This window comes from Homo sapiens, chromosome 5 (assembly GCF_000001405.40).
Source record: "Homo sapiens chromosome 5, GRCh38.p14 Primary Assembly".
Taxonomy (NCBI): domain Eukaryota; kingdom Metazoa; phylum Chordata; class Mammalia; order Primates; family Hominidae; genus Homo; species Homo sapiens.
Window position 1 is genome coordinate 60,451,603 of NC_000005.10, and position 27,493 is coordinate 60,479,095.

The following is a 27,493-nucleotide window of genomic DNA, read 5'->3' on the forward strand; positions in this document are numbered from 1 at the left end:
CCAAAAGGCAACTGATATTAAGGATGTTGGAACCACTCCATATCTCCCAAGGAGGAAAACTTGCAGAAGTTTGAATGGAGTTGAGAGATTTTTAAAAGCCAAAGAAGAATTCCCTTTTATCCCTACTTCCATGGGACCCTCTGCTATGCTGCCGAACTCTCTACAGAGACAAAAGGGGGAAACTGGACCAGTTACATTATCGGCTCAATAATGTCTTACAGCACAACTGATACAGGATCTTTACTGACCAGAATGCCTGGATGATGTTTTGCCAGGTTTGTTGAAAAGTTATGCTACGTAAAAGTGAAACAGAAATATTATTATGAACTATGTAATGACAATAATAAAGACCTCTTCTACCTGGACTCTCAAAAAAACAGGAAAAGTGACCAAATAGTTTTTCTCAATAGCCCAAAAGACAGTCCAAACAGTTTTAAGGGATGGTTCAATTAACAGCAAAAATTCATGTTTCTTATTCCTTCTCTTGGAAAGAATTAATAAGCAGTTAAATGAGAAATGATAAGAAGAAAAGCCTCAGGATTTGGATGTCCTATAGGCAAGAATACACAGCCCCTGGAATTTTGTAAATCTCTGAGAAAACACTAAAAGTTTACTTATCCAAAGAACCAAGGGCAAAATCCACAATTGTCTTCAACTAATTTAAGTGTCATCTCATTTCTCAATTATTTTCAATGTAATTGATCACATTGAATTACATTTTGAATAACATTGGGAAAAGGTTGGACTGCAGATGCATGTTTTCACTTCATTTTCCATCAAAGAACCAAATTAATCTGCAGGATATTATGAGCACATTATCCAGCAATAGCCCGCCACATGTCTGCCCACTCTCAGAAGACAATGTATGTCTTATCTTCATTCACCGATTCCACAAACATTTCACCAACCCAGTGAAAAGCCCAGGGTAAAGAAGACAATGATATGAACCCTGTCCTCAAAGAGTTTAAAATTTGGTACAAAAGATATGTTTGCATGCCAAATTACCATAACATGAAGCAAAACGTAATAACTGCCACAAATGAGGATTTAAAAAATGCAAACACCTATGGCATTTCAGAGGCAACAGCTACATTATGGAAAAGGGAACATTTCTTGCCATTTTAAAAATCACTCGAAAAAGTATTCCAGGTGATTAAACAGATCTGAGACAATAAAGCATCATAGCTGAAGGAAGAAAAAACAAAATTAAAAAATTGTTTAAAAGTAGCATCTTCATGTTTTCATTCAACTATACACACCCCAGAAAAACGTAAAATGTGGCCAGATTTCTCCAGTCAAACTTCTTCCATTCTCTGTGAGAAAGCTAGGTTCAAATGCCTCCACAATCCTGAGATTAAAATGGAAAGTGAGAGAACCTTACATCATTGTACATGTGCATTGGTCAAATTACCTTTAGGATTAAAAATCATATTTTTATTTTTTCAATTAACACTGTAAACATGGGCAGTCAGAAGCCTCTTACCTTTGCTGTTTAATTATCCATCTGATTGCAGCTCAGATCAGCTCTTTATAATCCAATTTTGAGAAAATGATACATCTATTTAAAAGCACATATAGCTTGTTTTGTTCAAGTAGAAAGTGACCAAATTCTCCTAGACTGAGAAAAGATTGGCATGTTTGCTTGTGCATATCAGATTGTGTAGTCGCAAACCTGGGAATTATTCCACAGATGTGAATGGATTTCTAATTTATGTCACAAAGGAGAGATTATACTCTTAGGATAAGTTATTTACTTACTCATTTTCCTAATTCGATTTCAACACACATGAGAACTTCAAGTCAGGAAAGCATTGCCAACAATGCTTCAACAGAGACAACCAAAAAGAGATCATAAATGTCTTATTAGCTGTAAATAATGATAAAAATCAAATCTTTGGGAATATAATTACAGCTGGTCTAGCTTAAAGGGTTTTACATTTATATTAGCCCAAGTAAATCACAGTATACTAATTTTAATTTATACATTCAAATAGGTTTGTTGTACTGGTTGCCATAAATTTCAAAACAAGAAAAATCAAGAAGGATCAGCTTCGTTATTTTTTTTTTAATCACATTTTCCAATTGTAAGGTCCATAGCTCCTCCTTTTCTGCCTGTTGACAAGTGTACTTCTCCCGCTTTCTAACTTTAAGTACACTCCTCTCTGCAGTAACTTGTCTGAGCTTGTTTGTCATAGTTCTTACTGGCAATTTCTAAGCTATCCTTTCATGATCTTTTGAAGAAACAATGTATAAGTGCACCTGTGTTATTTTATGTTCATGCCTTCCCCTTGTTTTCTTTCCTTGGCACCATAGAAGCAGACATACATGTCTGTAACTTATGATGGCTTATTTATTATTTTTACCTGCATATATTCAGAAACTATTTTTAAGAAAAGGACTGGACTGATAAATCAGGGCTAGGAAGCCTGGTCATTGTGTGGGCTTGGACAAGTGATATAATTCACTAGAACTATATTTTCAGGTACAAAATGAGGACGACCCTGCCAGAGAATCAATCATCAAAACTGCGACAACTCTGAAACTGTATGACTCTCTAGCTCTTTGACTTCGGACTTCACACTTAGATGTCATTTGTTACTTTAAAAGATGGTTGGTTCCATTGTGGAAGACAGTGTGGTGATTCCTCAAGGATCTAGAACCTGAAATACCATTTGACCCAGCAATCCCATTACTGGGTATATACCCAAAGGATTATAAATCATTCTATTATAAAGATACACGCATGCGTATGTTTATTGCAGCACTATTCACAATAGCAAAGACATGGAATCAACCCAAATGCCGATCAATGATAGACTGAATAAAGAAAATGTGGTACATATATACCATGGAATACTATGCAGCCATAAAAAGGAATGAGATAATGTCCTTTGCAGGGACATGGATGAAGCCAGAAGCCATCATCCTCAGCAAACTAACACAGGAACAGATAACCAAACACCACATGTTTTCACTCGTAAGTGGGAGCTAAACAATGAGAACACATGACACAGGGAAGGGAACAATACACACCAGGGCATGTTGGGAGGCAGTGAGGGGAAGGAGAGCATCAGGATAAATAGCTAACGCATGCGGGGCTTAATACCTAGGTAATGGGCTGATAGGTGCACCAAACCACCATGGCACACATTTACCTATGTAACAAACCTGCACATTCTGCACATGTATCCCAGAACTTAAAGTAAAATAAAATTTAAAAATAAAGATGGTTGGTCTTTCCCCTGGTAGATATAAACACAAAGACGAAGCGGCACATACATGAGCGGGGAGTGTAAACAAGAGAGAAGGGGTGGGGGAAGAAAGTGAGAGAGAAAGAAGGAAAAATGAGGCAAGAGAGACAAAAACCCAGAGACAAGGCAGGGAAAGGGTGGGGAACAGGGTGAGGAATTTAGAGAAAGAGGAGAGAATTTGGGAAAACAGAAGAGTGTATACAGTAAGAGAGCTAAAGAAGAGGTCTAATTAATAGTATACAACCAATTATAGGGTATAAAATTTTAAAATTCTTGCATGCATTTTTTGCATGTCAACAAATACCTACAGGTGTTAGTTTCTCTCCAGAAAAGAAAAAGCAAAATACTTGGATATTGAAGTGCTAATTTTAAATGTCTGTAAAAATTTGTGAGGGAACAAAGTTATTTTCTATTATGAATTTACTAAACACTAGATGACATTTTAAGCCATCATATGTTATCAATAAAAATTAGCACAAGAGAAATTCCAGCACAGGGCACAGGATATAGTAGGCAATAATATACCTTAGAGAGAGAGAAGAAGGAAAATGAGAGACAGAGGAAGGCTCTATTTTAAAATGACATAAATCATTTTCCTGATCTTGAAGACTAATGGAGATAGGGAGAAAGGATAAAATAAGCCCATGTAAAATTGCCTAGACTCTGAACAAGCAACAAGTACAAACTACAGTAAAAAGTTAAATAACCAGAACTCAATTAACTACAATTCTCAATTTGCTAGAACACATCCACACACCTTTACAGTCCAGTATTCAAGGAGACAACTTTACAAAAAAATAAAAGATTTCAATGTTCATGAAATAATAATAGCAATTACCACCACCACCATTAGCAACTCCCTAGGAATGTCTCTGGAGAACAGTCACATCTAGTACCTACAGCATTAGAGTCCAGAGAACAATAACCACTGTTGTTACACATGCAGACCAGGAGGCCATTCAAGGACCTCTGCGATCAAGTCTAGTTACTCAAAGTAGTGCCTGCACTTCGTAGTCAATGTGTTGACTGCTTTAAATGGTTTCCCACTGGAGAGTTAGAAATGTCAGCCCATGCCTAAAATTTTTGGAGCCAGGGTTCTCCAGCCAGTAGCCCACTCCCTTCTCTTCTCTTCCCCACCTTCAGTTCTTTTCTGCAGTGAGGGGCCTTGCACACACCCCCAAGGACATCTCAGCCCAAACATCTAAGATTCATGCACAGCCCCACACTCTTTGGTCCTAGGAGTGCTCAACACAAGTGGTACAGTTCACCTTCGGGAGATGAGAACTCAAGAGAGACCCACGTAGGCCCTGGAAGTCATCTTGGGATCACTTAGGTAGGAATTGTGGGGTACCAAGTGGTTTAGAAGAGGGAATGGGGTGCTTTGGATTGACAATATCCACATGGCTCTGCAGAATCGTCTCCCCATAAGGCATGGCACAGTGGAGGAAGACCAGTAGGGCCCTCTAAAGCAAGTGACACGAGGCAAGAGCCTCTTTCCCCAGGTTTAAGGGTGCTACTGTTAACATGGCATTTCTGCCTTAACCTGGGTTAGCCAGGAAATCTAATTAGCCATATCTCATTCCATGCAGCCAGACTGAATAGTATTTGGTTGTGCTATACAGTGAAAATAAACAACCTAAGCTCTAAAATTACTGTAACTCAGGTGGTCAAATGATTTTGGTTTTAATCCCTTGGAATCCCTGCCCAATTAGCACAAGAGGATGAATTTTCTTCAGCAATAAACCCCTAAATGCCTCATGCATACTGCTTAAGAATAAGCTAGCACAAAGAGAACCTTTACTCTCAGTGACCAAACAGAGAGTAAAGTTTTTGTCTCAACTTCTCCTTCCTTACTCTCAGTCTACAAAACATCATGCAAGGCTGACCCAAGGCCAGAAGCCAAATTTAATGGTGAGCCTCCCCTCTTGTTCTCTCTTCTTGTAATACCTCATCCTGACACGCCCGAGTTATCCTCTGTAGGAACACAAGAAGATCCACTTTCCCAAAACAGTGTCCTATACCTCTGTTCCCCACTCTCTACCACCTGATTTTTTTTCTTGTCTTTTTGGGCTTTAATCTGGTCACGGTCAACTAACTAAGAGAATAAACTACTTACCATATACTAGTGAGCTAGTGAGTGTTATCAGTCGAATAGGTCATCTACCCAACTTAATTAACATTGCAAAAATGAGGTCAGAGCAGTGGAGGCACACAAGCTCCTTGGAACACTTCGAATAAACTGTACAGCCTGCTCGACTGAGAGACCACCACATATAGACACAGTAGAAGGAATACATAAAAGAGACGAGACTTGTCCTAATAGATTTGCAGTACAGCTGAGAGACAGAATCTATATAACATGGAAAGAGCTTTAATAATATTATAAAATAACACAAGGATACAAATCAGTGAGTAATAAGGCCTTTTTCCCTCCTGTTTTCTAATGTACTCCCAAAAGTCTCATCTGCCATAAGCTTTCCCTGAAATTTTGATTTAAGAGATAGAAGGCTTGGCCTGAATAGTAAAAGAAACAGCTTGGAAGAATTTAGACACATTTCCTTCCTTCTCTGCTTCCTCATGTTTCCTGTCCTTAGAAGTTAGGCCTTTTGAAGGATGTTTGGAAGTGTTCCCTGCATGTCCATGTGCTTCTGCTACCTCAGTCTTGTTTTTATTACTATAATATATCAGGGCCCTCAAGAGTTATCTTTATTCTTCCTATGTAAGAGTGAATAGTAATTTCATTTCAGTTTTTCCAGCTGTTCCTTTATATTGTTCTGCCCCATGACTTCAAAAAGATAGGAAACCCTTGAAGTCCTAGAATCCTAGACTCAGAGTCAGAAAGCACACATTCTTATTCTAGTTCTAGTGCTTAGTAGCTGTGAGGAAATTATTTAACTCTTCCGAGTCTCAATGCCGTCTGTAAGATGGGGGCCTGTTTCAGCAAATGCCAAATCAAATCCCTTTCTGCGAGAGCAAACAACATGGTGCTGCTTAATAGGCATGGTTGATGTGAGCACTTGTGGCAGATATTCTCTGCTTTGGAATTTCTCTGAACAAGATCCGATTGATTTGTTTATTCAGTTAACAAATATTTTCTTGAGCACCTAATATGTATCAGACTCTCCACTGAGCGCTTATTAGAACCACTGGAGCTATGAGCCATCCAGTTGCTACTGGACAGTTTCTATTTTCAAATTACCACTTTTCTAGTGTTCTCCCTTTTGGAGAATAGCTAAGAATATGTGTCATGGCCAGGTGCAGTGGCTTACACCTGTAATCCCAGCACTTTGGGAGGCCAAGGCGGGTGGATCACTTGAGGCCAGGATTTTGAGACCAGCCTGGCCAACACAGTGAAACCCCATCTCTACTAAAAGTACAAAAAAATTAGCTGGGCATGGTGTCACATGCTTGTAGTCCCAGCTACTCAGGAGGCTGAGGCAGGAGAATCACTTGAACCCAGGAGGCAGAGATGGCAGTGAGCCGAGATGACACCACTGCACTCCAGCTTGGGCAACAGGGTGAGACTTCATTGCAAAAAAAAAAAAAAAAAAAAAAGCAAAAGAAACAAAGAATGTGTGTCATGTTGCTTGCTTAAATTCTATTCGCAGCATTTTGGAATGACACGTCTCCCTCTCCTGGCTTCATTATACATCAAAATTCCCAAAGTTAAAGTTTTTTCAAGACATAAGTCAGCATAGTCGCTAAGAAATTCTCCCTTGGGCTTGATAGAAGAGAATTAAAATATATCTGGACTTCATCAAGTCTGGTTTTTTAGTCTGTCATGGGAGGCTGGAGTCACTAGGGATAAATTAAATTATTAAGAATGAAAGTTTCCAATAGTGTAAAGGAGAGACGTGGTAGTGAGCAGCACATCAAGATAATGAGTGAGCACACGCACCACACCCGGACTCATGGATACTTATGCTGCAATCCATAAGTGCACCTCCTCAATATGCCACCTCTGAAAACCAAAAATGTAACAAGCAAATATCAGAATAGTCATTCCTGCTCAGTGGAGTCCCTAGCGACAGTCAAATAAAAGAAGACGAGCTTCTTTGAAGCTCGAAAACAAAGAGCACCTTTCCAGTGGACAACTAACTAAAGTGGTGTGATTTTGGTATAAGTTTGTGTGTGTGTGTGTGTGTGTGTTGTGTGTGTGTGTATGTGTATACATTTAGTTTTATTGTAACAAAGCAACTTGTACTTTTCACGTTTAAAACTGAGCATCATCTTTCCTTTACAGTGAAACAAAAAGAAAACTTAAAAATAAGCAGGAACAAAATTACAATAGAGAAAGTCAATTCCAAATAAGATCCTACAGGTTCTTCTGATTCTCCCTTTGAGTGGCAGGGCTCAAGTCATCATTAGGAGATAATTTATTTTAAAAGTGTCATCTTAAACTACAAAGATGCCTGTTAAATATCACAATAAACATGCCAAAGGAGAAGCCATGTTGTCAAAATGCCCACTTAACCTACCCAAACATCTCAGATCCACCCTTTGCTGACCTTCTATAATCCCATTTTGTTTTTTAGTTTTTTTCTTTTTTTAAACAAGAGAAAATAGACAGATACATGTTGGTAAATGCTAACTGTCCATATTCACATAGAGACACCGTGTACTCTCTAAGCCCAAGATACAGAGAAAGGAGGGAAAAAGCTAGAATTCTATGCACTACTACACAGGGGCCTAGCACCCTCCAGCTTCCAGCAGAATGAAAGGAGCAGGTTTTTCTTTTTTCCCACAGAGCTCGGTGGTGTTGATTCCATACAGTTTTTGTTCAGACAGAAAGGGATAAAAATGAATTTCAAACAGAAAGGCGTAGAGACACTTTTCCCATTGTATTCTGCAATAAGTTGAGAACCATGGTGTAGAGCAAAGAGACCTCAACAACAGGGCAACAGAGCACAAGAGGAAAAAGAAAAGACTGGAACTTGCTCCCAGGGACTGGAGAAAAATTTTTAAACAGGAAAGTTGGAACCTATCAGTGTTCTAGTAATCTTTTCCTTCATCCTTCTCTCCTTCCTCCCCTTCATCATCATCTTCATCTTCACCTTCATCTTCATTGTCTTCTTCATTAGTATCTTTTTATCCTTCCTCCTCTTCATCATCATCATCATCTTCTTCTCATTCTGCTTCTTCATCATCCATATCGGGAACCAAGTAGTACTGTAATGAGTTTGACCAAATATCATCTTTGGTGACCTCTCATAACTCATCAGCACCTGCATCAGAATGGTCAGTAAACCAGGTAAAGAAGCTCTCTGGTTCCTCATGCTGCCTCTTCCTGCTGGCTTTATTCTGCATTTGACTTGAACATTTCATCAAATCCTTTCCAGATGAACATTTCATCAAATCCTTTCCAGATTTCCATTTCATTTCAGTGGACTTTGAAGATGGATCACCACTCTCATTCAGATGAAATTCTTTGGATAGAAGTTTATTTTCAAAGTAAAGATTTTCATCAAAATAAAAATCTATTCTGTAACCTGATTTAATATCTTCAAATTCTGTCATTTCAACTCTGCTCAAATAATGCAGTGCCTCTTCATCCTCCTCCAGCAGGGCAGACACTTGTGGATGCTTGACAAATGTTGTTACCCCAAAATTTGGGATTTTGGCGATCAATTCTGACATCTTCTGAAAAAATGGTTGGCAGAGTTTGTCATATTTCTGTTCTACTTTCAAAATCTCCTCACTGGCTTCTTCATTAAGTCTGTCTATTTCATTTTGTACTTCATCAATGCATTCAATTGCTTCTTGCTGTTCTTTTTCTCCCTTCCTCAGCAAGCCTGCAGAGGCCAATGTCTCCTCCGGTCCCAGAGCAGGAGGCATTCTTGGTTTCTTCTTTTGAGGCAGGAGTGGAGACTGGCATTTGGGGGCCATGCTGCTAGGGAAGTCCAAGAACCAGACCACAAGTCTCCTTGCTCATCCGGAAGCAGGCAGAACACTCTGGTATAAGATTTATTGGTTAAAATTGAGCAATAACACATGGGTATTTGAAGGATCCCTTTACACTATTAATTCCATTCTTAATTAATAGCATAAATGTCCATTCTTAATTTTATAAATGCAGAACCATTTATAAAAATGGAAAAGCCATAGCTGTTTGGACCCCCCAAGGAAGCTAATCAACCCACCAAGATAGAACAGGAGTTTGTAAACATACCTTTGGCGTAATTGTTTGATAATTTATTATATAATAGTTAGTTCTTTAACAAATGGCTTTTATTTTCCCTGATCTAAATTAATATTAGAAGGAGAATGAGTGCTCTCAAAAAATGGGAGAAAATGCAGAAAATAACATTATTTTCCCTTCAAACATCCATCTTCTCCATATGCTTATGATGGGTGACAGAAAGAGGAGGAAAATCAGGCCTCCCAGGAAATACACAGTTGGGGGGAATCCCTGCCCCAAACATGCATAGGCAGGGCTACCATTTTGCACAATCCCACTTATACTCTTGGTGAAATTTACCTCCAGGACTATGCGGTGCACAATCTGCCTGCTGTGCACAGGGACTCTATCTACAGGCACCCAATAGTCCACGAAGAGGAAAGTGCACCTAGCCCAGGGAAATAATATTGTGTTGCCCTGCGGGCTAGTTCAATCCAAAGGGAGTCAAGGAAAAGAAAGAGAAAGTGTTCACTGACTTTAATAATTATTCAAGATTCAGAAGTATCTGGGAATTATAAAATATTTGATTCTGTAATCACATCAGAGGAAAGCCTTTCCATTTGACTGATTCTCCAACAAACCAAACCACAGAGGGAATGGCTGAGCAAACAGTTTTCCTACCTTCATGCTCACACACATGGTGGAACATACCAGCAAACAAAAAAACATTCACCAGATTTCAATTGATGAAACACACTGGGAAGAGGTGCCTTCCCTTTGGTTGACTTTAAAAACATTAACTGATACAGTTTAAGTTTTTGTTTCAACCTACAAAATAGAGTTGTTACCTTAAATATATGACATTTAAAGACAAGGGATTTCTATCAGACCAGATGAAGAATACGCTGGACCTCAGTCTGGTGACCAAGCATTATTCACATGAGAAACGTTCTTAACCCAAACACTTCAGAATGGCATAGGAAGCTTGCTTTACTGAGATGCTCAAGGATGTGTTAGAAGCAGGATCTCTGAAAAGCAGGAGTGAAAAGGCCAGGACCACTCTAGGGCCAGGTATCCCTAATCAGGGGGCTGATGCTTCAGAATGCCCTCTCCTGCCCTTCTCCAGCCATGCCTCTCCATGGAACCAGCAGTCTGCAGGGCTGTGATACATACCCACCTGCAGGGACAACTTCCCTTCTAGACTCTTCCCCAAGTACTCATGACCCTTGAATTTCCTGCCCCAAGTGGTCCGAAACCAGCTTCCAGGGCCTGGGTGTGTCTTCACCCTCCCGAAGCAGATCAACTCACAGGTGTGCGCACCCCTAGGCCTGAGGGGTGTTCATGGGCAGCTAGTGGATGTGGGTGTGAATAAAGTTGAATGAGCAGGCTGGCTCACCCACACACATTCTTACAAGGATCCTCCAGTTGCACAGTGGAGCCAGGGCAAGAAGAGAAGGAATAGGTTGTGGAATAGGGGGGTCTTGTCCTGGGCCCTCAAATGTTAGGGGTGAGCCTGGAATGGGATAAATCATATAATGAAATGAGTACTATTCAGTGATCCAAAGAAAAATCTCCTCTCTCTGTTTCCTATCCTCACGGTGACCACATAAACGGAGTATCTCAACCAGGACACTGGGGAGCATGAAAGGTATCTTAACTAGATGGGACACCAGCTCAACAGGTGAGGCCAGGACTGTCTTGCAAACTAGGATATAAAGTCATCCCAGCTACACCGAACTGTAGAATAGTGTCTTCCCTTAAGATGATCATTCACTACCACTGAGCCCAGAGTTCCATAAATCATTGCCATCCATTGGCATCCAGCATTTTCCCCCTCATTGGGTTCTTTTCCTCATTAGAGAGTGTTTGTGTTTGGTGTACCAAGAAGTAAATAAAACCTCATTTTCATCATATACAACAGACTTTGGGCATATAATAGAAAGCATCATATGTGGTTCCAACTTCTGTAGTTTTCCTACAAAGTTTGCTCAATCTTTTAAGTTTGTAGGTTGACATTCCAAATAAAAGGAGTAGAAAATAAGAAGGAAACCCGTGAAACAAGAGAACCATCAGAAACCCCTGCAAACTCACCAAAGAAAGTTGGATCTAGGGATTCCTGCAGGAGGTAGAAAATCAAAGATAAATAGTATATGGAATTTTAAAAGAAAACATTGTGGATGGCCTTTTCTGGAGCCCAGCCTGCACTGAGCCTATGCATACAGGATTTAATCAGGACTAGTCAGTGCAATCCAGACGTGCACACCCTAGATGAGGGAGTTTCTAGGAAAGTCTATGGCCACATCCTTGGCGTCTAGTTAATGTGTCTCCCGTGCTGCTTCTTGGCAAATTCCAGTAGCCTGATCTTATCTCATAGCTCTTGCACAATACACACAGACACACACAGACACACACACACACACAATTTCTACAGTGCTTCCAGCCAGTGCTACTGTTCACCATTATTTACACTAGCAGCTCTTAAACATGACCACACATCACAATTATCCTGGGAGCTTCTCTAACATACAGATTCCCAAGCAGCTCCCCACAGAGACTGAATCGGGAGGTCTTGGGTGAGGCTGGGACCTTTCTACCCTTAGTAAACAAACAATCCAGATGACTATAAAAGCAAAACATTCTAACCCCTGGAGAAGCTCTGCTAGAGCAGTACAGGCTGAATTCCATCTGACCAGCATGCAGTCATGCCCTCTTGCTGTTTTTCTTGGTCTATTCCTACTTTGAGGTCTTCCCAGAAAGAGCTGAAGATGTGCTGCCCAACACCATGGAGACAAGGCCCCACAACAAACAGCTGTCCTTTCCTGCCATGGCCAAACTCCAACCAACTGCCAATTCAAACACGTCCTGAAATGGCTCTCTATCCATTGACTTTCATGAGAAACTACTTGAGCTTTATTAAGAAATAAAATACACACATACAGCAAGTTATGAAAATTTTAGAATGGTTCCTCTTTTTTATGGACAGTCTTTAGTTTCTAATCCAACAATAAAATGATTCCTTAAAATGAAATTTTAACCCATTTCTTTCCTTCTTTCTCTCTCTCCCCCTCCCCATCCCACACACACTCATACAATGATCTGTGGGCTTTTTGTTAAATTAGTGATTCTCAATGGAGGTCCAACCCTTCCAGAAGAACAAATCAATGTCTCCAGGAAGCCATGTAATTTTTCTGTTTGTGAAAATGAACCAAGTGTTTTCAAAGGGAAAGAAACACTGCCAGCCTCATCTTTGATTCATCCAGAATATGGATGGGAGAAAATTATAGCAATCAATCAACTTGAATTTCATGTTTTACAAATGGTATAGTGTGATCAGAAATAAGCCAAAATTTATAAGTAATTGGCATAGAAGAATTAATAAAATAAGTAAAATTAGAGAAATGCTATCAGGTAAAAATCCCTCCTTAACAGTAGAGAAGCAGATTATGAGAATCCAGTCATCACTCTGGATATTATCATCACAGGCAAAAATCAGCTAAGTCAGCTGTTGACAGAGCAGAGGAAGTTAAAAAAACTCTACTCCTCTGGCACTGTTTTGAAGTTCAGCGATACTCAGCTTGGTAAGGCATTCAGTGCACTGATTGTTGCTTCCCCTGGAAGCAGTCAGTGCCTGTCTCCTGTGTTATTCCCACAGATCTCAGGGATGGGGCCATTACAAGACAGTCCCTCTGATCTTGGCTGCCAAAAACTCAACATAGCGTGATAGTGGTGCCTCCTCGCCAAGAGAGAAAATCAGTGCTAAACATGGTACCCAAATTTCCACTCATCATACTGTGGTGGCATTAGAGGATATGGAGCTATAAAAGCTAAAAAATAAAAAAGCAAGGCCAGGCCAGGCATGGCAGCTCACACCTGTAATCCCAGTACTTTCGGAGGTCAAGGTGGGAGGATGGTGGGAAGCCAGGATTTCAATACCAGCCTAGACAATAAAGTGAGATCCCATCTCTATAAACTTTTTTTTGTTTTTTCATTAGCTAGGCATGGTGGCACATGCCTGTAGTCCCAGCTATTTGGGAGGCTGAGGCGGGAGGATTGTTTGAACTCAGGAGTTCAAGGTTGCAGTGAGTTATAATCGCACCACTGCACTCCAGCCTAAGTGACAGCACAACTTCATCTTTAAAAAAATAAATAAATAAAAATAAATAATTAAATAAAAATTTAATTTATTAAATGCACCCGCTTGCTTCCTGAAATATGCCAAGCTAAAGAAATATCTCTTCAATATATTAGTCCTTGGCATTATTTCACTAAACTATTTCATTAAACTAACACCTCATTCCTCTTGCTCTATTGTTCTTTTCACTATGCTTTAGATCATTTTCCTAAGTTAGTTTAAAAGTGAGACTAAATGCTCACCCTCCATAAGTCAAGACTTCCTTAAAACATAAGACATAACATACATATTATTCCACTTGTATAAGCATAAATTTGACATGAAATAGCTTGAAACAAAGTTTGGAAGGATGTGCATGGTGACATTCCCATTGGTTCATTTAAGATGGTCCAAGATTTCTGTTCCTGTTACTTACCTCTTTTCTACTAGAAACATTAATTATTTATTATTTGTATGCTCGTCAAGCTTTTAAAAAAAGAGTGGGAAATATTGAAGTTACTTACCAATGGAAGCTATCAATATCTGATATTATAATTACAGAAGCTCCTCAACTTACAGTGGGATTATGTCCTAATAAACCCATTGTAAGTTGAAATATCATTAATTCAAAAATGCATTTAATATACCTATCCTACCAAGAATCATAGCTTAGCCTAGCCTACCTAAACATGCTCCAAACTCACATTAGCCTACAGTTGGGCAAAATCATCTAACACAAAACCTACTTTATAATAAAGTACTGAATATCTCTTGTAATTTTAAATGCTGCAGTGAAAGTGAAAAAAAAAAAAAGAAAAGGAAGAGCAAAATCAACTGCACCGAACAATGAAGGGACAGAGTAATTCAACAGGAAGGGAACAGTTTCTACTGAATGCATGTAATTTCACACCATCATAAAAATAGTTGAAAAATTCTAAGTCGAACCATCATGAGTTGGGAACTGACTGTATTTCGAAACTCTAGGAACAAATGGCTAACATTAGACTTCTGACTATATCATTTCTTTTGCTATTGTTATCCATTGTTTGGGTGATCTGCCATTGCCAAAATGCATCTACTAGGTTGAATGGAAGTATTTGTCCACAATCTTATTTTAAAACATAGGAACGAGATGGTCATAAATGAGAGGTTACTTACCCTCCTGAAACAGCCACTAATTCCACAAATTGGCTGCTTGTTGTTCAAGACAGAGACCCTCACGGATAAAGTAAATAAGGATTTATCCTATCAATGAATTGAAAGATGCATTCATTTAAAAATTACTTGATATCACAATTGGCATTTCAATTTTATAGTTCTTCTTGCTCTCACTTTTCTTAGAGATTGTACAACAGGAGGCAGATACCAAATATGTTCCCTAAGAAAATTTAGAATGGCTCTATTAATCTCTCTCTGACTTCAAGACAATGTTTAAAAATAAATGTCTGGCTTAACATTTTACAAATGCATCTTTTTAAACATTAATATTTTTTCTGTGCACCACAAGAGAGAAATTTTGTATTGAATCTAAGTCAGGAGCAATTCAATGAGATTGAAATCACCCAAGACAGCCTCCATCTCTTTATCTCCATCACTTGGAAGATTTCTTGATTACACTTTGGAGCTCATTATCAACTAGGATTGTCTCATTTTCAAGATCTGCCAGTCTCAAATTTTTCAACATTTCCTACTCTTTCCCTCCTGTTGAATTTATCCTGCCCCTTCGTTGTTCTCAGTAGTTGATTTTGCCCTTACTTTTCTTTGTTCTTCCAGTCTTCTTAAACTGGGATACAAATTCCCAGCCCACCCCCACCCAGTATAGGCCCTTGTCATGGAAAAATATGGCATATATATTTTAGGTGTCTATTTACTGAGAAATCAATCACCTACTAGCATCTACTACTTTATTTTAACAGATCTGCACTGGAATTTTAAATATTTTTTTATTTTATTTTATTTTATTTTATTTATTTTTGAGATGGATTTTTGCTTTGTTGCCCAGGCTGGAGTGCAGTGGCGTGATCTCTGCTCACTGCAACCTCCACCTCCTGGGTTCAAGCTATTCTCCTGCCTCAGCCTCCCGAGTAGTTGTGATTACAGGCACACACCACCACACCCAGCTAATTTTTGTATTCTTAGTAGAGACGGGGTTTCACCATGTTCGCCAGGCTGGTCTTGAACTCTTTACCTTGTGATCTGCCTGCCTTAGCCTCCCAAAGTGCTGGGATTACAGGCATGAGCCACCAGGCCCAGCCCTGGAATTTTAAATATTTTAAAGTTAAAACTTAAGACTTGAGAATTTTCCAACTTCTAAGAGGCTACTTGGAGCCCCAGAAATGTGCTTTCCTTCTTCTCTGTCATTATGGATATTTCACAGGAACCTTGTTCAGCCTCCTCTTGCCTTCACAGCCTATGGTCAACCATCTCCAACTGAATTCTCTCTGAACTCTGAGATTTCCTAGTATTCTTAACCTTTCACTAAAAGCCATGCTTACACTGGCCCAATCCATTTCTTCTGCCTTAATTCTGGGGTGTCACATTTTCTCTATTAGTCCGTTTTCACACTGCTATAAAGAACTACCTGAGACTGGGTAATTTATGAAGAAAAGAGGTCCGATTAACTCCCAGCTCCCCAGGCTTAACAGGAAGCATGACTTGGGGGTCTCAGGAAACTTATGATTGTGATGGAAGGTGAAGGGGAAGCAAGCACGTCTTGGCATGGCAGAGCAGGAGAGAGAGAAAGGGGATGTGCTACACATTTTTAAATACTCAGATCTCGTGAGAACTCACTCATTATCACAAGAACAACAAGGGGGAAATCCACCCCCAAGATCCAATCACCTCCCACCAGGCTCCTCCTCTGACACATAGGGATTACAATTTGATGTGAGATTTGGGTGGGAACCCAGAGCCAAACCATATCAGTCACTAAGGAAAGTCCTATGATAATACCTTGTAGAACCAAGCCACTCAACCAGTCCAAATGCTGGTCCTCCCTCACTGGACAGTCCCCTTTTTCATCTCTAATACACATCCTAACTTTCTTTCTTTTTTCTTTTTTTTTTGTTTTTTTTGAGACAAGGTCCTGCTCTGTCATCCAGGCTGGAGTGCAATGGTATGATTTCTGCTTACTGCAGCCTCTGCCTCCTGGGCTCAAGAAATTCTCCCACCTCAGCCTCCTGAGTACCTGGAACCACAGGTGAGTGCCACCACACCTGGCTAATTTCTATATTTTTAATAAAGATGGGATTTTACCATGTTGCCCAGGATGGTCTTGAACTCCTGAGTTCAAACAACCCACCTGCCTCAGCATCCCAAAATGCAGGGATTACAGGCATGAGCCACCATGCCCAGTCTACATCCTAACTTTTCAAGCCCTTTCAGATTCTCAAATATACTTCTAACTTTCTCAACAAACAGCTTCATTGCCCACTCAACAAAAATTGAGGCAATTCTAGGTGAATTATCTCAATTTTTCCTTCCTTCATATGAAATGTCATAGGTCATCACACACAGTCTCTTTCTTGCCTTCAGTTTTTTTTTTTAAGAGTCAGGGTTACTTTTTAAGTAGCTGGAAGTATAAACATGTGCCACCATGTCTGGCTAACTTTTTTTTCCTTTTTGCAAAGATGGGGATCTTACTATGTTGCCCAGGCTGATCTTGAACTCCTGGACTCAAGCAATCCTCCTACTTCAGCCTCCAAAATTGCTGGGACTACAGGCATGAGCCACCCACTGTGCCCAGCCTTCCCTCCAATCTTGAAGCAGTGTCTCTATTTCTTCCTGAGACCAATCCCTCCAGCCATGCTCCTGATTCTATCCCTGCCAGCTCTCTCCATCGTCCCCACCATTTCCTGCATCTTCAAGCCTTTGCCTTTACCTCCTGGATGACCAAGACAATTGCCTCTTTTGGAGACAGATCATTTCTTTACCCTGTTTCTTTCAAAGTTTTCCTTCCTTTTATTGCCAATCTGCTTAAGGGAATAGCACACATTTATAAAATCCACGTCTTTCTTCCCATTCTTCCTGAGCCCCATAAATAAGCATCTGTCCTCACCAAGCCAATGAACCATTCTCACTATGGTCACTAAGAAACCCACTCATCACTATCCCAGGTCTCTGCTCTGAATTTGTCTGCCTTGTTTGTGTAAAGAATGGCCAAGTCCTTCTTAAGCCCTTACTTTTCTTCCTTTCCTTCACTCCACCCCCTCCTGTTCTGTCTCCTACCTCTCTGACTGCTCCTACCCAGTCTCAGTCACCAGCTCCCCTTCATCTTCATACCCCATAGGCAACATTCTCCAACACTCAGCTTTTTCTTCTACAGCTTCTCTCTTAGTGACTGCATACATCACATGTCTTCAATGATCATCTCCATGTAGAGGGCTTTCAACTCCAGAGCCTCCAGCCCTTATCTGTTTTATTGCACTTTGCTTTATTGCACTTTGCGGATACTGTGTTTTGTTACACATCACAGGTTTGTGGCAACCCTGGTTGAGCAAGTCTATCAGCACCATTTTTCCAACAATGTGTGCTCATTTCATGTCTCTGTCACATTTTGGTAATTCTTATAATATTTAAAATTTTTCATTGTTATTATATTTGTTAGGGTGATATGTGATCAGTGATCTCAGATGCTACTGTTGTAATTGTTTTGGTATGCCACAAACCATGCCCATATAGGACGGCGAACTTAATCAATGAATAATGTGTATTCTCTAACTGCTTCACTGACTGGCTTTTCCCAGAAATCTCTCCTCTCCTCAGGTCTCCTTCTCCCTGAGACACAACAATATTAAAAGTTAGGCCAATTAATAACCCTACAATTTCCTTGAAGTGTTGAAGTGAAATAAACAGTTACATATCTCACTTTAAATCAAAAGCTCGGAATGAATAAGCTTAGTGAGGAGGGCAGGTTAAAAGCCAAGAACAGCCAAAAGCTCCTGTGCAAGTTAGCCAAGGTGTGAATGTAAGAGAAAAGTTCTGAAAGAAATTAAAAGTGCTACTCCAGTGAATACATGAATGATAAGAAAGCAAAACAGCCTTATTGCTCATATAGGGAAAGTTTGGGCGGTCTGAATAGAAGATCAAACCAGTGACAACATTTCCTTAAACCACAGCTTAATCCAGAGCAAGGCCCTAACTCTTCAATTCTACAAGGGCTGAGAGAGGTAAGGAAGATGTAGAAGAAAAGTTTGAAGCTAACAGAGATTGATTCATGAAGTTTAATAAAATAAACTGTTTCCATAACAGAAAAGTACAAGGTGAAGCAGCAAATGCTGAGGAAGAAGTTGCAGCAGGTGAACTGGATAATATAGCTAAGATAACAAATGAAGGTAGCTACACTGAACAACAGATTTTCAATGAAGGTAGCTACACTAAACAACAGATCTTCAATCTAGACAAAACAGTCTTATATTGGAAGATGCCACCTAGGACTTGCATTGCTAAAGAGAAGTCAATTCCTAGTTTCAAAGCCTCAAAAGACAGGCTAACTCTCTTGTTAAGGACCAATACAGGTGGTAGCTTTAAATTGAAGCCAATTCTCATTTACAATTCCAAAAATCCTTAAGCCCTTAAGAATTACGCTATATCAACTCTGCCTGTGCTCCATAAATAGAGCCACAAGGACTAGATGACAGCACATCTGTTTAATTATGGTTTACCGAATTTTTTAAGCCTTCTGTTGAGATCTACTGCTCCAAAAAAAAAAGATTCCTTTCAAAATATTACTGCTCATTGACAATGCACCTAGTCACTCAAGAGATCTGATGAAGAACTACGAGGAGATTAACATTGTTTTCATGCCTTTAACAAAATATTCATTCTGCAGTTCATAGATCAAGGAGTAATTTTGACTTTCAAGGCTTATTATTTAAGAAATATATTTTTGTAAGGCTGTAGCTGCCATAAACAGTGATTCCTCTAATGGATATGAGCAATGTCAGTTGAAAGCCTTCTGGAAAGAATTCACCATTCTAGATGCCATTAAAAACATTCATGACTCATGGGAGGAGGCCAAAATGCCAATATTAACAGAAGTTTGGAAGAAGTGATTCCACTTCTCATGGATGGCTTTGAGTGGTTCAAGATTTTAGGGGAGGAAGTCACTGCAGATGTGGTGGAAATAGCAAGAGAACTAGAATTAGAAGTGGAGCCTGAAGATGTGATTGAATTTCTGCAATCCCATGATAAAATTTGAAGATTTGAGGAGCTGCTTCTTACACATAAGCCAAGAAAGTGGTTTCCTGAGATGGAATCTACTCCTGGTGAAGATGCTGTGAACATTGTGGAAGTAACAACTAAGGATTTAGAATATTACATTAACTTAGTTGATAAAAAGCAGCAACTGGGTTTGAGAGGACTGACAGCAATTTTGAAAAGTTCTGTGAATAAAATGCTATCAAACAGCACTGCATGTTACATAAAAATATTTCATGAAAGGAAGAGTCGATTGATGTAGCAAATTTCATTGTTGTCTTATTTCATGCAATTGTCACAACCACCCCAACATTCAGAAACCACCATCCTGATCATTCAGCAGCCATCAATGTCAAGGCAAGACTCTCCACCAGCAAAAAAATTACAACTTGCTGCAGGCTCAGTGATCATTAGCATTTTTTAACAACCAGTATTTTTAAATTAAGGTATGTACTTTTTTTAGATATAATGCTATTTGCACACTTAATCAACTACAGTATACTAGAAATGTAACTTACATACATTGGGAAACCAAAATGTTTGCATGGCTTGCCCTATTGCAATATTCACTTTATTGCAGTGGTCTGAAACTGAACCCACAATACTCCCAAAGTATGCCTATGCTGAGACACTAGCCCATTACTATGGCCTATTAGGTATCCCCATGTAGCGAGCCCGGGGATAGTCTGGTAGGTGGAACAGAATGAGCATTTTTACCGATAGTTATATGGTTTTGGGCAAACCATGTAACACCTGAGTCCCAATTAGCAATAATAATAATAGTACCTTCCTCACAGATTTGCTGGTGAGGATTCAGTAATATGGGAAAATAAGTTTATTTATATTGATTCAGCAAACACATACAGTGCTTACTATATGTCAGAATGGCTTATAATACTTTATAAATAATAACACTTTACAAATAATAACTAATCTAATCTTCACAATGATCCTGTGAGGGAAACGATGTTAAAATTCCCATTTCACAGATAAGAAAACTGAGGCACAGCCAACTTAGGTCATTTTTCCCAGGTCACACAGCTAATAAGCAGCAAAGCCTGATTCCAACCCAGACAGTCTAGCACCGGAGTTCCTACTCTTGATCACTGCCATAAGCTGCCTCCAATCATACTGCCTTTCTGCCTTTGAAAGCACTATAGAAATCTAATTATTATTATTAAATGAAAAATCTGAAACATAAGCACACCCTTGCACTTCGATTCTCTTTCCTGAGATCCTTGTTGGTTAAGGACATCAATCCTGTAAACTACAACCTCATTACCAGCTTTACTCCCTCTCTTACCCTAAAGCCCATTGTTGCCAAATCTTATTGTGTTCAACTCTGAAATGGCTGTCTTATTCTCACTGTCAGTGCTTCCACTCAAGCCTATTTCATTGTCACCTAGGCTACAAATGGTCTCTGACTTAGGATGGTTCAACTTAGGATTTTTCAACTTTGTGATGCTGCAAAAGTAAACACATTTGGTAGAAACCATATTTTGGATACTTTTTTCACTTTCAGTACAGTATTCAATAAATTACATGAAATATTTATGTAATTTACTTTATTACATGATTTACATTAGGTGATTTTCCCCAACTGCAAGCTAATGTAAGTGCTCTGAACACATTCGAGGTAGGCTAGGCTAAGCTATGACATTTGATAGGTTAGGCATATTAAATGCATTTTCAACTTATGATTAGTTTATTGGGACATAACCCTATCATAAGCTGAGGAGCATCTGAAGAAAGACAGACAGACAGAAGGAAGGAAGGAAGGAAGGAGGGAGGGAGAGACAGAGAGAGAGAGATGAAAGAAAGAAAGAAAGAGAGAGAGAGAAAGAAAGGAAGGAAGGAAGGAAGGAAGGAAGGAAGGAAGGAAGGAAGGAAGGAAGGAAGGAAAAAGAAAGAAAAAAGAAAGAAAGAAAAGAAAGAGAAAGAAAGAAGGAAAGAAGGAAGGAAGGAAAGGAAGGAAGGAAGGGAAGGAAGGGAGGCAGAGAAGCAAGGGAGGAAGGAAGAAAGAAAGGGAGAAAGAGACCTCCTATATTTTGGGACAACTGGTGAAATTTGAATAAAGTTTGGAGATCAGACTTCAGATATTAGATATTACCACATAGGGGTAATGGGGTATGATGTCTGCAACTTACTTTCAAATGGTTTAGAAAAGTGCTCTTAATAATATGTATATGTTAAAGAACAAGAGAATGATAAAGTAAATGTGGCAAAATGTTAACAATTGGTAAATTCAGATGAAGAATATCCTAAAACTTTTTGACAATTCTTGCAACTTCCTCTAAATTAAAATTATTTCAAAAAGTTTTTTTAAGCTAACAAATCTTGCTGCCCTGGCACACACAGAGCTGATGATGGCCTTCCCCTGCCACTCCACTCCTCAGATCCTCTCACCAAAGTGTCAATGGCTCCCCATGCCAACCCAAAAAGTCCAAAGAGCTCATCTGGCATGCAAACCATACTACCATATGCTTTCACCTCTGTCATTCCAATTTCATGGTGTTCTTCCCAACACTATGCACTCTACACCCTCCCCACTGTTTGATGTACCATGCCCCCTGACCCCACCCCAGCCCCCGCCCGCCGCATTATTCTGCTTCAAAGCCTTTGAAGAGGCTACTTCCTTTACCTAGAGTAAAACAACCTTTTTTTCCTAAAGATAAGCATCAGTCACATCCTTGCCTCAAGGCCTAATTTGAATCCTATTCTTTCCAAGTCATCACTCAGATCCACCCAGTTGGAATTTTTTTATCTTCCCAAGGCAGGTGTTGACCTCTGTGTCTGGCTTACTGTCTCAGTCCCTTTGAGCTGCCATATATATATATATATATATATATATATATATATATATATATATAACAAAAACCTTAGACTGGGCAATTTATAAACAACAGAAATTTATTGCTTATAGTTCTGAGAGCTGTGAAGTTCAAAATCAAGGCACCAGCAGATTAAATGTCTGGTGAGGGCTCATACCTTATAGACAGCACCTTCTATGTGTCCTCACATGATGGAAGGGGCAAACAGGCTCCCTCAAGACTCTTTATAAGGGCACTAATTCATTCATGGAGAGAGAGCCCTCACAACCTAATCACCTCCCAAACCCCCTCTTAATACCACCACTTTGGTGATTAGGTTTCAGCATATGAATTTGAGAGGGATACAAAAATTCAGACTATAGCACTTACCTCCACTCCTTATACTGGAAATTTCATTGATGTGTCCTTCACCCACCAAATTAGGAGTTTGCAGAGGCTGGTAAAAATGTGGTTTTCATCTTTATAACCCTTGTCCCTTTTTAAATAATTTAAAAAACGTGTGCTGCCAGGGCTGATCAGCAGATTCAAGGCAACAGGGGAAGTCGCAGTTCTGGCAATGAGCTTCACTAAACATGCGAAGTCATTCAGACACACTTTCCACTCTCCACAGCTCCCAGCTCTGCAAGGAAAGGCAGAGAGGAGAGACATCCTCCACAGGCTCACCTTACCCCCAACAATGTTCCTGTATGGAGCTCCTCCCCTTTCCAGAAGCCCCTTCATTCAGTCAGGTCAGTTTGTCACACCCTGCCTCAGACCTTCCAGCAAGCTCTGTGCAGCTGCTGCTGGCAGCGAAAGGATGTGTGTGAAGCTGCTCTAGCTGCAGGTTAGAGCTTCTCCAGGACTCTAAATGCTTGAATGGCTTTATTTTCAATACTTTACCTTTTTTTAAGAAAAAATAAATTTAAGCCTTTTGAAAAAACTTATGTAAAAGAGTCTTTTTTTAACTCCTTAGAAAGTTCTAGATAGAAAACAAAATAAGGGTGCTCAAAAGGAATAGAAATTCAATTGTTTGCTTTCTAGGTCTTCTCCCCCCTAATGTTATGCTCCCTAAGCACCCTGTCTTTCTTTCTTCTAGTGCCCATAGGTTTTGTTCAAATCAAGGCTCAGTTTCTTCTTCCATCTCTTCCTTCTACTGACAGAGACTAAGGCTCAAGGGCAATTAAGTCACTTGGCCAAGGTTATGTTGCCCTAAAGTGGCTCTAGGCTTGTTAGTGGGTTTATACATCCTACAACTGGAGCTTAGGATCAAACACTGAGATTTGGGGATTGCACATGTAGTTATAGCCAGAAGAGCCAGGTCCTTCAAGGAGAATAAGGAGAAAAATATAAGGCCAAGGTCTGGACATTGGGAAACCTGCACTTAGGGGACACAGGAAGTCATCCTATGACGAAAATGGCTTTCCATTAAACTCCAAGAGATTACTTCCTAAACCTCATTCTATAATAAGGAAAACAAAATATACCACTCTTGAGTAAGATCTAAATACAAGAACCATTCTTTTTCCTTTCATTCATTTAGCAAGTATTGATTAATGTCTATTATATACTAGAAATGTTTCTATGTTCTAAGGAGACAGTAGTGTACAAAACAGACTAAGTTCCTGTTTGCAGAGAATTTACCAGAGCTAATCTTGTAATATCTGAAAAATCAGAGACTTCCTAAAACAAGCTATTTATTCTCTATGAACTTCACTTCTCTCATCTGTTAAATGAAAAAAAAAAAAAAAAAAAGACAATTACCACCCGCATCACATAGCGTTGCAGGGAAAGCTGAGTGAAATGTCATATAGAAGGTGCCTAACATAGAGTGACATTCAGTAGATAATCAATAAGGGGTAATAACTAAATCTGATTACATACTTACCAGAGTTATCCTTCACTATCCCTCAGGACTCAATCTAACAAATAATCCTGTCAGCATGTTCTAAATCCAATCATTCAGATATAACCCTAGAGATTTTTGCTATTTCTGCATTCAAGTCTGCACTACACTCAATACTTTTTCCTCATTCCAAGTAATAACTGTAAAATCATAGTTTTCACATGCAAGTTTTATATATTTCTAATCCACATTAAAATCATCAGTAACTATTAAAATTTAAAAGTTCATGCATGTGACATAGCACCTAAAAGTAACTGAGATGTCACCGGAAGTCTGTTGGGTCTACTTTGGGAGATACTTCTCCACAGGCTCGACTTGGCAGAACTGATCACAGTATCTAAATTTGGCTTCTTTAAATGAAACACATTTTGGAGAGCTCCACAGTCTGCCATCCTCTCACAATCTCCACTGTTACTCTCCTAACACAGCCCCTGCCATGACTGTCATAGCCTCCCAACTTCCACCCTTGCTCCCTATAGCCTGTGCCCCACGCAGCAGCCAGAATCAGACCATGTCTCTCCCCTGCCCCAAATCCACCAATGGATTGCCATGGCACTTAGAAAGAATGTAACGAGCTTACTGTTGTCTACAAAGGCCTTGCGTGATCTGGTCCCTTGTTGTCTCCCCCACCTCATTTCCTACCCTTCTTTCCATTGGAAGTACAGCTGCTGCAGCACCAAACGTCATTCAGACAGCCTTGCATCCACTAATGCCCCTGCGTGCAGCACACTTTGCCCAGATTGTCATGGCTCACTCCCTCACTTCAGAAGCCTTCCCTCAACACTAATCAAAAAAAGCACCTCCGCCATCATTCCCTTTCTGCTCACCTTGCTTTATTTTCTCAATAACCCTTATCACGGCCAAGCATTAAATTATGTATTCACACATTTGTTTAATGTCTGTCAATCCCCATTAGATTATAAACTCTAGGATGGCCTCCATTTTGTCTACTTTTACACTAGTATATTACTAATGCCTGAAATAGTATGGAAGTCACTCAACAAATATATATTTGTTGGTTGAAGGTATGTGTGACTGGGCAAAGTGGATAACCAGTATTCTTTAAAATACGTCCAGTTTGAAGTTCCTCTATGACATGTAGAATAGGCAGGAAGAAATGCAAACCTGGAGTTAAGGAGAGAGGAAATCAAACAGCAAGAACATATGAAAGCATGATCAAAACCCCACGGACTCACCCAGCAAATGCTATAGTAATAGCGGCTCCAAAATACAGAAATTGATTAGAGGCAGAATAGAGCTCAGGGATAGATATGAATAAAACTGAAAAAGAACCAACTTCATTATTCAACAGTTTGTGGCTTAAACTCAATTTGCTTTAAAAAGGAGGAGTTAGGGGAGAAGTGTGTAAGTAAATAAGCAAAATTTTAATTTTAGCCTGTAATAACAACTTACTCCCTGACCAAGCTTTAAAAACAGTGCTGAAAAGTAACCAGGTAAGTTGAGATTTTTCTGTTTGTTTGGTTTGATTTTACACAGTATGTAAAAGTTAAATTTCCAAAAGGGAGGCTGTTAAGATGGAGGAAAAAAGGTGAAATGACTTCTGGTAGACTGAGTGTATTAATGGCCCAACTCATGGCCTTCCTATGTATGCACACTTTGACTCATAACTTTACAATCCTCCACTCGGACTCGGAGTTCCACCACAAACTGCTTTGGCCAGTGGGGTGTTAGCAAATGTGACACACAAAGAGACTTGAAAAGTGCATGTGTGTTGCCAACTACCATTTTACACAACTGGACTTGCCCATGCTTCGACCCCAGACACCACTGTGAAAACATCCCTGAGCTAGCCTGTTGGAGGGATATGAGAGACATGGGAAGGAGCATTGACTTTACCAAGGAAGGTCATCTTGGCTTGCCAGCTAACTCCTAATGCATGAGTAAGGCTTGCTAAAATAATCAGAATCTGCTTAGATAACCAGAACTCCCCAGCCAACTGGTAGACTCATGAAAATCTTCCATGATTATCCTTTTAATCATTTATCCATTTAATCCAAAACTATGTTTTGGAACTGTTTGTTACACAACAATAGCTAACTGATACAACTTGGATAATTCCCTCCAAATAACAAAGGAGATTAAAAGAGGAGGTTGAAGGAGTCCCTTAAATTCAAATTCAAGGTCATAATTCTAAAATATTTTATCTAAAGCATTTAAAAAACAAATTCAGCAAAAGAATTCTGGATTTTCTGGTTAAATCTTTTTAAAACATTTGAAAACAAGTTTATGAGAAAATACATTTAATGTAATTGCAATCCAAAGCTGAACCGTTAGCATCCCCTTAAATTATAAAAATGGGGTGATTTTTTTTACAAGTATAAATAACTTACACTGAGTAAGCTGTCTGGTTTTCTTTATGGCCTCCAAGAAAAACAAAATGGAGCCACGTACGTTCACTTCATCCTTCAGTAATTCTCCTCTAGCCTCATCACAGGGGACTTCTCATTTCCGTAGCACTAGAGTCTATTTTCATTAAAAGAAACTATTCCTTCCTTCATCTTTAAAACATTAACTACCTTCTTGTATATATACCAGATTCACTTAAAGAACTACAGCTAAAAGAAACCAGCAACTATTTGCTTCTATTCATGCTTTTGTATTGGCATAAGCACTACCTCTTTTCCCCTCCAAGGTTATCTTTTCTTTTTTCTTTGCATATTTCCCAGGAGCTCTGCACTAAAGCATAAACTTTCACATTAGAGAAGTGAATAATAAAGCAGACACCAGAGGAATACATATGCTGTTTGAAGAGGCTTTCTCACCCAGCCTCCTTCATGCTTGCAGACTCATACCCAGTGCAGTTGACAATTTTAGTTCACTCAGAATCCATTGTATATTCTTTTCCATAAACATACACATCTTTGTATGAGGAGAAAGTGAACCAAATCGAGAACATTATTAAAGACACAGGTAATAATATGCGCTGTAGAGCCTTCTAGTATGCTGAGTCTCATTTGGTCCTCCTTTTGTGGCAAGCATAGCCTGGATTCCCACCTCTGTTTTACAGGCAAGGAAACTGAGGCTGGCGGTGGCAATGTAACTTGATGTTTCTCCTTTATAAAGTGACTAAGTCAGGATTCA

General features: G+C 39.4%; 1 protein-coding gene and 1 pseudogene across 10 annotated transcripts in view; both read right to left on the reverse strand.

The window, feature by feature from the left end:
- Positions 1–27,493, reverse strand: part of PDE4D (phosphodiesterase 4D) — a 1,553,091-nt gene that overhangs the window by 1,482,565 nt on the left and 43,033 nt on the right. Inside the window, exon 2 of one of the 10 annotated variants that reach the window (XM_047417294.1) lies at positions 22,879–23,128. The exons of the other annotated variants lie outside the window; for them this stretch is intronic. The gene's annotated coding sequence lies outside the window, so the exon portion shown is untranslated. The remainder of the gene's footprint in view (positions 1–22,878; positions 23,129–27,493) is intronic. 10 annotated transcript variants of the gene reach the window in all.
- SETP21 (SET pseudogene 21) lies at positions 8,067–9,203 on the reverse strand (annotated as a pseudogene).